This window comes from Homo sapiens, chromosome 2, assembly GCF_000001405.40.
Source record: "Homo sapiens chromosome 2, GRCh38.p14 Primary Assembly".
Classification (NCBI taxonomy): Eukaryota; Metazoa; Chordata; class Mammalia; order Primates; family Hominidae; genus Homo; species Homo sapiens.
The window spans coordinates 44,788,652-44,800,681 of NC_000002.12; the positions used below are offsets into that span (position 1 = coordinate 44,788,652).

Genomic DNA, 12,030 nt, shown 5'->3' on the forward strand with positions numbered 1-12,030 from the left:
ATGCAAAGGAAGAGAAGGGTGGCATCACCCATGCTTGGTTCTCAGCCTGGCAGCGCTGTTAAAGCAAACGAAGAGTTGAAAACTGTTTCTGAGCAATGAGCCCTTAGAGCTGGGGCTGTGATGTGTATGAGTTGGGCAGATGTGAGACAGTCTATCCCACCAGATGCAGGCACATCTGATTCTCAGCCACCATCTAAAGTGGCGTGCCAAGCCTTCATTCCCTGCCTCACACATGGTGCTCATGCGCACACCCACACCCACACCCTGCCTGAAAAGAAGCTTTCCCTGGGCTTTAGGCTCTGGCCTCCCAAGACCTCAAGCAGTAGCCAATGGTTGGGTGATCCTGGTAGCCATCTCTAAAATCACCTTAGATGTCACTTTTGCCTTGGGACTTGATTGCCAACCCCTGAAATAGGTGTTGGGAGCGTGGTTAGAATTTCTCCTGTGATATCAGCACTGCTCCAGCAGCTGCACCCACCCACGTCGTGGGGTCACTTGCGGCCTGCACAGTAGGACCAAAGTGAGGCTCTAGAATCTCCAGGACAGCAATGCCAAAAGATATTTCTTTCCCATATTCCCTTCCATTCTTCATTGGCAAGGTAGAAACCAAATTTTTGACAGAGAAATTAGATGTGTCAGTGATTCACCCCCTTACAGTGTGATTAAGCTGCTTTTGATCATCTGTGCTAGATGTAAAGACTACGAAAATTCAGGAAAATAGAAGTGTTAAGGAAATAGAGCCAGCACATCAACATGTTAGGACTGATTTCCATCTTCGGGAGGACAGAACAAAAGATGGGTCTTCACCAGGAAGCAAGGGACAAAAAGAAGCCCAACAATCAGCTGATGTGCTGTGAGTAGGGACAAGAAAACTGCACAGAGAATCTGCGGATAAATTATTCCTGGGTAATTCTGACTCTTGATGCAGAGGAGCCCACACAGAACTCTGTCTCACAGGTGCTGGTTGCCTGGCTGCCTGGTTGCCAAGTAGAGAAGGAAGATACAAAAAATTCTGTTCCCTTACAGTGCACTTGACGTCACTACAGTAATTTTTTTTTAAATCAAGCACATTTAGACATTTCTTCCTTTTAGACATTCTCTTTGAAGAATCAAAGAGGGAGGAATTTGGGTGCGGTGTGAGGCAGCATACAATTCTCAGAGGACCCCTGGGCTGCCTGTGCGTCGTGAGCAGTGGGCTGGGGGAGAGAGCTCCCATCCTAAAGGCTTTGTAGCTTGCAAGGCTCAGAACAAACAGATTTTAGTTCATTGCTTATCTGATCAGTATTCACTTCCTAGATTTTTTTTTCAGTTAGGACTACATTCTTTATTGTCAATTGAATATTAATGATTTGGAATTTTCCACCTTTGATACTGGCAACGAAAGGTGCTAACCTGACATCAACAACCCAGGACTCTTCCCTTGAGTTTGCTGCAAGGGGTCTCCAGAAAGGGGCTGATGGGAGTGAGGTGTTTACCCAGCTCCTTCCATCCCAAATTAAATATTCAAATTGGGTTTGTTCTGGGGCATTGTTAAGGCTTGAGCTTTAATTTAATGGAAATGGCATTGTCCCTGGAAGAAAGGTTTCATTAGGCCAGGCCGCAAACTTTTCCCATTATCCTCTGGAGGAAACAATCTGGGTGACAGCCTGCCCGTCATAATCCCCGCTCCAGATTTATGGTGACAAAAGACTCTTAATACTGAAAATGTTCGGGGGGAGGAGAAACACTTCCCAAACAAGAAGTCTCTCCTTTCCAGGCCAGGTAACAAAGGGTCAGGAGGAATTTGGTGGGGGCCTCCTGGCCACCTGCCGGTTAAGCCCATGGTCAGTAGATTAACTGCAGCTCTGACTGAGTGTTTAGAAAGGCAAGTTACATGGCAGAGCAAACAAAATTCAGACTGTGCTTTACACATGGTAATCCCAAATTTAATAAGGCTTCACCACTGGGAAGCCAGAGCCCAAAAGGTAGCTGAGGTGTGGGGCTCTATTGTTCCCAGCCAGGGTTGTCGCCATTGGTTGTCTGAGCAGCCTCTGGGCCCACCCCCCTGGGGGTCTGTGGCCTCAGCTAAGAAAATTCCTCCTGGCCCTTTGGGGGGAGTCTGTTGTTTTCCTTCCTGCCAAGCTTCACCGGCCTTGTCCAGAGTCAAGTCACAACTTTGCCTGAACAAAGTCCCTGCAGAAGGCTTGGGTGGTCAGAAGGCCATATGAGCTTCCAGCCCTGTGGGCTGCACCAGAATCCGCCTCCCTGACCTGTGGGCTCATCATGGATGGGGCTGAGGCTTCACGAAAGAGTCCTGGGAAGTCTGTGATCCAGCCTTGGTCAAAGCTGCTGAGGGCCCAGATGTTTGTGCCCTGTTGAATTTCAGGCCTCTAAGGTGGGGGGTATGTGGGGTAGGTGTGAGTTATTTCTGAAATTATAATGAGCTGAAGGAATGTTTCTCTGTGGCCATCTTCCTGATTGTATTAGTCCATTTTCACACTGCCGATGAAAACATACCCAAGACTGGGTAATTTATAAAGAAAAAGAGGTTTAATGGACTCACAATCCCATGTGGCTGAGGAGGCCTCACAATCATGGTGGAAGGCAAAAGGCACTTCTTACATGGCGGTGGCAAGAGAGAATGGGAGCCAAGCAAAAGTGAAACCCCTTATAAAACCATCAGATCTCATGAGACTTATTAACTACCACGAGAACAGCATGGGGGAACCGCCACCATGATTCAATTGTCTCCCACTGGGTCCCTTCCACAACACATGGGAATTATGGGAGCTACAATTCAAGATGAGATTTGGGTGGGGACACAGCCAAACCATATCAATGATCATTCTTCATTGAGCAGCTATTTATCACCTACCTGCTATGTGCCAGGCACTGTGTTCAAATGCTCAGGACATTAAGGTGAAACAGAAAATAGACATGATCTTGCTTCACAAGGACCACAAACTGAGCTAAGTGCTGCAAAGGAGAGAATAATTGTCCCATGAGCCCATACAATACAGGGACTTCACTGAGTCAAGGGGAACAGGGAGGACTTTTCTAAGGAAATGAGCCACAGCAGAGATCTGAAGGGTACCAAGGGGCTAAGCCAGGCTGATGATGGGAGCAGAAGGGAATGCAGGGTGAAGGGAAGCCCACCAGTGTGGTAGAGTGTCTCAACAAGATGTGTACAAGTTGTATACAAGGAAGCTGGCCTCCTTCATTCTGACTCCTGGGGATCACAAGCCTGCACAAGAAGAAATGTGGGAAAAGCAGGGAATCTGGGAAAAACTAAAAATACAAAAATTAGGTGAGCATGGTGGCTTGTGCCTAGGAATCGCATCTATTCAGGAGGCTGAGGCAGGAGAATCGCTTGAACCTGGGAAGTGTTCCTAGTTTATGTGTATCATTTGTAAGAGGGCCACGGGATGCCGAGAATCTGTAAACAATTCCTGAGGAAACCCTAAACCTCAGGTGAACCTCCTGGACCTGGGCACCAAGCTGCTGAAAGATGAAGCAATTAAAAATGAAAAAACAATGTTCAAAAAGATAGTTTTCTGAATCTCCTTATTGTTCAAGATGGAAACCCAGTACACACATTTGCCTCCCATCTTTCCAGAAATCTTGCTGAAATAGTTTTAGAATTCCAAAAAGACATAAACCCATAATACTAAGGAGAGGAGGAGGAGGTCACCCACAGATAAGAGATGTAAGCAGATTTCTGGAATATGTGAAGTGTATGGGAGACATTATTAGAGGAAACAGCTGATGACGGCCACATAAAATGCTCTATGGAGGGGCAACAGAGAAGATGGAAGCCGGTTCACCCAGGAAACCTCAGAAAGATTCAGGAAAGGTATGTACACAATTGCACAGTAAATCCACACCATCTATAGTGCTTTTATTTTCCAAAATTTGGGTTTACTGTGATGACTGAGGAGGCATAAATGGAGAAATGAGGAGAACCATTTGCATGAATGAAATATATGAAAATAAACAAGCAGTTACCTAGTGCAGTGGCATGTATCTGTAGTCCTAGCTATTCTGGAGGCTGAGGCAGGAGAATCACTTGAGCCTGGAAGTTTGAGGACAGTTTGGACAATGTAGCAAGACCCTATCTCTTAAAAAAAAAAAACAGAAAAATATCACTTCTGGGGAAACAGAACTTAAAGAACAGATTACTCAAAAATTTTTTTAGAATTCTCGAACAGAATTGGGAAGATAATACATTCTAAAAATGGGATCTTGAGAACAGAATGAGCTCTTGGAAATTAAAAATGCAATTGGTGAAATAAAATAGTAGAAGGACTAAAAAGTTGAAATATCACAAAGCATAGAGCAGAAAGACAAAATGAGAAAATATGAGGGGGAAAATAATAAAAGACATATGTAATAATCCAAGATCTAAAAGGCATCCTAGAAAGAAAAAAGAAGTAAAGGGGAGAGAATTCTCAAAGCACAGAAGAACATTTCCTAGGGCTGAATGAGAATAGTCCTATGAAAAAGATCCACAACTAGACATAATCCAGGTAAAATTTCAAAACATGAAGTAAAAAGAATAGATTGTAAAAGTCTCCAAAGCAAAAGAGCCGGACACCTACAAATAAGCAGCAGTCAGAATGGCATCAGACTTCTCAGCAACACTAGATGCTGGAAAATAATGGGTGCTGAGGGAAAACGGTTTTCAGTCTAGAATCCTATACACAAACTATCCACCAAGAAGAGGACAACAGGAGAGTTTTCAAACAAACAGGTACAGAAAGTTTACCTCCAACAGGCCCTTTCTTAGGAAGTTGCTGGAGCAAGTTACTCCTGCAAAAGCAGGACATAAGATGGGAGAGAGAAGAAAATCTGAGGTTGAACTTAGGAAAGCCATAAAGAGTCTCAAGGGGACAGCTGTGCAGCACCTTGGAGAGCAGCCAGCCATACTGCTGTGGGATCACAGAAGACTTAAGAGGAACAGGGGAAAGGCAATTATTAGTAGATTAGAGAACATAATTCATTTAAAATTCAGATTTAAAATAACACAGAGCTGAGCATGGTGGCATGTGCCTGTAGTCTCAGCTACCCAGGAGGCTAAGGTGGGATGATAGTTTGAGCCCAGGAGTTCAAGCTCAGCCTGGGCAACATAGCAAGACCCTGTCTCTAAAAAAAAAAAAAAAAAAAAAAAAACACACACAAAAAAACAAAAATGAAAAGAAAATTAACATAATAGCAAATAATGCAAGCAAGAATAAAGGCATCTGGAAACCCTATGGAGAAAAATTGGGTTAAAAAAAAGTCAAGCTCTGAATATGAAGCAAACTAGGAGACATGATATGAAGCAACTGACGAAGTATAAGCAATGAGAATCCTTTTGACTTGGTGCTGGAAATACACTCTTTTTAGAGGTCCAGTGATCATGACACTGAACTTGAAGAGCAGGAAGTATAATCCTAATATTACTATTAGTAAATAAGAATTACATAATAATACAATGAAGCCAATGTGATCAGTTTCCCATTTTAAGACTCAACCTTTAAACAAAGCTTAGAAAACTAGGGTGTGTGCATCTGACAAAGGGCTAATATCCAGAATCTACAAAGAACTTAAACAAATTTACAAGAAAAAATTAACCCCATCAAAAAGCGGGCAAAGGATATGAACAGACACTTCTCAAAAGAAGACACTTATGCAGCCAATAGACACATGAAAAAATGCTCATCATCACTGGCCATCAGAGAAATACAAATCAAAACCACAATGAGATACTATCTCACACCAGTTAGAATGACGATCATTAAAAAGTCAGGAAACAACAGGTGCTGGAGAGGATGTGGAGAAATAGGAACGCTTTTACACTGTTGGTGGGACTATAAACTAGTTCAACCATTGTGGAAGACAGTGTGGCAACTCCTCAAGGATCTAGAACTAGAAATACCATTTGACCCAGCCATCCCATTATTGGGTATATACCCAAAGGATTATAAATCATGCTGCTATAAAGACACATGCACACGTATGTTTACTGCAGCACTATTCACAATAGCAGAGACTTGGAACCAACCCAAATGTCCATCAATGATAGACTGGATTAAGAAATTGTGGCACATATACACCATGGAATACTATGCAGTCATAAAAAAGGATGAGTTCATGTCCTTTGTAGGGACATGGATGAAGCTGGAATCCATCATTCTGAGCAAACTATCACAAGGACAGAAAACCAAACACCACATGTTCTCACTCATAGGTGGGAATTGAACAATGAGAACACTTGGACACAGGAAGGGGAACATCACACACCGGGGCCTGTTGTGGGGTGGGGGGAGGGGGGGAGGGATAGCATTAGGAGATATAGCTAATGTAAATGATGAGTTAACAGGTGCAGCACACCAACATGGCCCATGTATACATATGTAACAAAACTGCATGTTGTGTATATGTACCATAGAACTTAAAGTATAATAAAAAAATTTAAAAACTAGGGTGTGTGGCAGGACAGAATAGAAACTTTAACCTTAATAATGTAAAAGTACAACTGTAGTGGCAGAAGGTGGGATGTAGAAAGGAAAAGAAAGGTTAGAGGAGAGGATATTTGTAATAATATCCTCAACTTGCAAAGCAGATAGTCAAGAGGCACTGGGGAAAGTTGACGGATCCATAAATATAGGTTTAAACATTTTATCAAAGTTACAAAGGCAAACCATAGAAGACAGGAATATCTAAATACTGAACATTGAAATTCACACTCAGAATTCCACAGATACCTGAAAAAATGGTAAATGAAGAAGTAGAAATAAAAGTATATTACAAGTATAATGGGTATATGTTATATGGGGAAATCCACCTAGGGCCAGATAAAATATAATATTATGCAGTATTTGGGACGTATCTATTCATTGTTTATCTGACATTTGAATTTGACAGGGCATCCTGTATTTTTTTTTTCTCCTAAGTCTAGCAACCCTAGATCCACTAGAGGAACTAAAAATCAAAAGTGTGCAGGCTGGGCACGGTGGCTCATGCCTGTAATCCCAGCACTTTGGCAGGCCAAGGAGGGTGGATCACCTGAGGTCGGGAGTTCGAGACCAGACTGACCAACATGGAGAAACCCCGTCTCTACTAAAAATACAAAATTAGCTGGGCATGGTGGCACATGCCTGTAATCCCAGCTACTAGGGAGGCTGAGGCAGGAGAATCACTTGAACCTGGGAGGTGGAGTCTGCGGTGAGCCAAGATCATACCATTGTACTCCAGCCTGGGCAACAAGAGCGAAACTCTGTCTCAAAAAAAAAAAAGTATATACTACTTGATCTGTAACTGTAGGTTTGCATTATTTTGATAAGAATAAAAAATTTCAGATGTGTTCAGTGCATTTAGGAAATCAATCCCTTATTTTGAATATATATAGGAAGAGGCATATTTATTAAATCAGCCTTGCCCTGTCCCACTTAATACATTTTAAGCAAGTATTTAAAGAATATTAGTTTGCAAGGATTCCATTTGTAAGCCTGTCAGGCACCAACAGGACTTAGGTGCTTTGGTCAAGTATGTGCCAGATGCTGTGGGAGGTTGCTGGGTCTAGGAACTGGCGAAGAGACAAGATATATATTGTGTACAGAACAGCTAACTCTTTAAGGGAGGTTGGCTTCTATTGAAGTCAGATGATTGCGGGAAAATGGTGGTAAAGGTGGTGACTGCTAAGTGCTACAGGGGCTGAGCTGAGGGAGCAGGTGAAAAGCAGAACAGGGTTGGTGATGAAGATGAGGCTTAGAGGAAGAGGAGGAGGGTTTGGAAAAGGAAGAGGCAGCGATTCTAGCGCCTGCTTTTAAAGACCCTGATTTAAACCACACCTTAGGGCTGGGCGTGTTGGCTCAAGACGGTAATCCCAGCACTCTGGGAGGTCGAGGCAGGTGGATTGCCTGAGCTCAGGAGTTCAAGACCACCCTGGGCAACATGGTGAAACCCTGTCTCTACTAAAATATAAAAAATTAGCCAGACATGGTGATGCTCGCCTGTAATCCCAGCTACCTGGGAGGCTAAGGCAGGAGAATTGCTTGAGGCCAGGAGGCGGAGGTTGCAGTGAGTCAAGATCATGCCACTGCACTCCAGACTGGGTGACAGAGTGAGACTCCATCTCAAAAAATAAAAAAAAAAGCCACACCTTAGCAAAGCATTAGCTGTCTGCCTGCCCCCAACCTCTCCCAAATGCACCCCAACGAGCACCCACTTTTTGTGGGTCTCCAAACCTTCAAAAGGCTACTCAACCAGTGGATAAATGTCCAAGAGACCTTCCAAAGTGATGAATCAATGGTCAAGAGGTGATGGGGAACCACTGCTTTGGCTGGGTCTAAGCAAACCCTGGCTAGAGGTCTCCCAGGCCTGGCGGGCCGAGAAGATTAGCCTAACCCCTAGGGAAAAGTCCCTTCCCTGATCAACTCAGTGCGAGGTGTTAACCTTGTTTGAATCCTGATTTGAAACACCATCTGCCAAAGTTCATTTCTAAGCCAAATGAGGAAATTTGAACATTGCCTCAATATTGGTAGGATTGAGAAACTACCGCCAATTTTTTAAAGTAATGAACTATGGTTGTGCTTTTAAAGGAGACTTTAAATATTCGGAAATACTTATATCTACATATTTGAGAATTAATTTAGTATAATCCAATGTGGTCTTGCCGCAGGGGGTTGTGTGTTAAAACTATTGGCTATAAATTCTTGTACTTTAGTATGTGTTTAAAATTGTCAATAATAAAATTCCTCACTTAATATTCCTTGCTCTCTCTATAGATAACAGTCCCTTAGACTTGCTTAGCATGTATGGGTTACATTTATATCAAATTACCCTCGTGATCCCTGGAATACTCCAGTTGGGCAGTTAGGAAGTTTTTACTGATGAGGAAACAGAAAGACAAAGGCACACGAAGGGCTGACTTGGAGAGAGGTTCTCCCTCCTCTCTCAGGACACCTAAAGGTGGCAGGAAATACCTTCATGGCTTACAGAATATTTTACCTTTCTGAGTGCTCAATAATAAGTACTCCTGGCACCACTTTGTTTCTTTATTCAACATATAGCTGTTGAGCATCTGCTGTTTGTCATACTTTCCAGGGTGGCAGAGATAGAGATACCAGACATTTTTCCTACTTCCAGTTCTTCAGATATTTTTCCAAAATCAGATGGGATATTTTGCCCCAAATCTGAAGACCCTTTAACTAGAAACTCCCTAGAGAGGAAAAAACCACAGCCCTAGCCCCTGCCCATACCCAAGAGCCTTAGCTCATTCCTAGATACCAAATCACAGGGCAGGCCCCATTGATTCTGACTCCTGCAATTCCTGTCCTTCCCTCCCGGGAAAGACTCAGCAGGGCAGGGAACCTATGCTTGGGACAAGAACATCTTCCCCATGACCTTCACTGGAGGCCCCCAAAGCAGAACTTGAGCACCCCCTTGGTCTGCCGCTGTCTTCCATGTGGCAATACCCAATTGCCCAAGGGCAACAAACATTCTAGGACCTGGCCCCTAGGCACCTGACAGGCAGCCACCTTGCCACTGCAATGGCCCCAGCTCCCACTTCCCTGGGTTGCTGGAGGGTTTCTTACGTCAGCTAGGTTGCCCCTCCTCCACCCCGTAAACACCCCGTAAAAGAGAGACTCCAGCTGTCTCTCTTCCTTGGACAGCCTCCGTCAGCCAGGCATTTTGTGGTTCCTCCTCAGCACTCAGCACTGTGCCACCATCCTCCTCCTCCCCATGGGGCTGAAACAGCCATGGCTGATGTCTCCAGGGAGCATCTCATGAAGAGACCCCATGATGGGTGGTGCTTAGACAGCCATTGTTCCTACTCTGGCTTCCCTAGCCTGCTTTCCTCCAGCCCCGCATACTGTTCCCCTTCCCTTCCCTCTGTCTTCCTCAGTCAGTACCTACCTTCTGTCCCACAGGCTGGCCAATGACTTCACTGTCCCATCTCCTCAGGGATCACTCTGGAAGACCCTCTCATAGCTGAGGGGGCTGGCCTCCGAGTTCTCCACAAGTGGTGGGCTCTGGCCCTCTTCCCGCCATGTACCAGCTTGTTGGCCTGTCCTTTGTCTCTTCCTTCAACTTAGCTTGAGCCAGCTCACTGAGTAGGGACAGTCACATCCAATTCAAGACCTTCCCACTGTTCATGTTTCTTTTCCTGGAGCCAGGATTTTAAATTTGAGGTGGATTTATTGGGCATTTACTATATGCTAGGAAATGTGCTAAATACTTTTGTACATTATTTCGTGTAATCTGCCAAACAATGAGGTTTTTAAATTAAATTTCCTCTAAGACATCTGAAGATACTATTATCTTAGGCTTAGAGAGGGTAAGGAGCTTGCAGAACCAAGGTTTAAACCCAGGCGGTTCATCTCCAGAGAAGGCTTGAAGGCTGAATAAAGTGAGTAGCAATTACATCATAAATAGAACCACCCATGGACATAAGGAGATCCAAACTCTACTCTCACCTCTGCCATGAAACAGATGTGGGCAAATCATTTAATCACTCTGAGCGTCACTTTTTTCATCTTCAAAATGTGCATTGGAGAAGCAGGGCTAACAGACACTCTCTCGTGGGATGCAGTGTAACACAATGATTAAGCATGTGGATTCTAGTGCTAGGTTGTCTGGGTTCAAATGGTAGTTCTATTCATGAATTATGTGACCAAATTGCCTTGTGTCTCAGTTTCCTCATCTGTGAAATGGGTATGATGATAACAGTACCTATGGCATAGCATTATGGTGAGAACTAATTGGTGCATATCTGGTAGAGCAGTGCCTGGCATATAGCCACCATTAATATCATTATTATTATTATAACGAATGGTCTCTTCCATCAAAATTCTATTATTTTAGGATGCATTCAAATTTTTTTTTTTTTGAGACAAGAGTCCTGCTGTGTCACCCAGGCTGGAGTGCAGTGGTGTGATCTCAGCTCACTGCAACCTCCTCCTCCTGGGTTCAAGCGATTCTCCTGCCTCAGCCTCCCAAGTAGCTGGGATTACAGATGCCTGCCACCATGCCCAGCTAATTTTTGTATTTTTAATAGAGATGGGGTTTCACTGTGTTGGCCAGGCTGGTCTCGAACTCCTGACCTCAGTGATCCGTCTGTCTCGACCTCCCAAAGTGCTGGGATTACAAGCATGAGCCACCACACCCGGCCTGCATTCAAACTTTTAGCACCATTCTTAATGTAGCCAGAGTTTTCATGTTTAGAAATCAGGAGTTAAAGCCTCGTCTTTAATAAGAAAAATCCTCACACTTATACAGTAAGTCACTCCCTTCAAAACACATGCACATATAATTTTACATTAGGACCTCATAATTCTGGTAAGTCAGCAATAAAACTGTACATTTGTGCAGCTCTTCACAGTGACTGATGCATTTGAACCCACTTCCATTCACTTTGGCCCCACCCCACACTATGAGGCAGGCAGGATAGGCAATGTGGCCACTCAGGGACAAGGAAGCCTTCAGTCAGATGTAGTAGGTGACTTGCTTGAGGTCACACATTAATGGGCAACTGAACCAGCCTTGATGCTGAAAGATCCTAATTTCCAGTCTAGAAATCTCTCCAGAAAGAAATCTCTCTCTGTTCTGCAAGGTACTTTGTGCTTATATGTGTGTTGGGTCCCCGCAGACCTGAACCAGAATGTGGGTAGAATTCACCCCTGGCAAAAAGAGCTCCTCTCTTGTAACCACGGACTTAACCAGTCTTTATCTAGAATGGAATCCCCTTTTCTAGAGATTGTAGGTACCTAGGGTCACTGTTACCTCACAAAGGGTGGAAAAAAGAGGGGAAAAGGCCCTGGGCTCAGAAACACCCCTGTTCTCATCCCTGCGCTGGCCCTTGATAAGCTTTGTGGCCTTGGGCAAATCATGAGAGCTGTCTAAACTCTCTGAGAAATGTGGACGGGCACAACCACTTTGTCGGGAAGCTGAAAGCATTAGCAATGACACGTCGTAGGCATCAAGGAGGCGTTCAATAAATGGTAGTTTAAAAACAAAACAAAACAACAACAAAACTCCTTTCTCCAGAAGGCCAGTATGGCTGACAGA

General features: G+C 44.0%; 1 annotated feature.

The window, feature by feature from the left end:
* Positions 1,301-2,004: an enhancer, noted in NCBI's record as "OCT4-NANOG-H3K27ac-H3K4me1 hESC enhancer chr2:45017091-45017794 (GRCh37/hg19 assembly coordinates)". NCBI's record gives its function as "activates a minimal SCP1, AML or CMV promoter by ChIP-STARR-seq in naive H9 embryonic stem cells {active_cell/tissue: H9 hESC(naive)}" and the evidence as "EXISTENCE:reporter gene assay evidence [ECO:0000049][PMID:30033119]".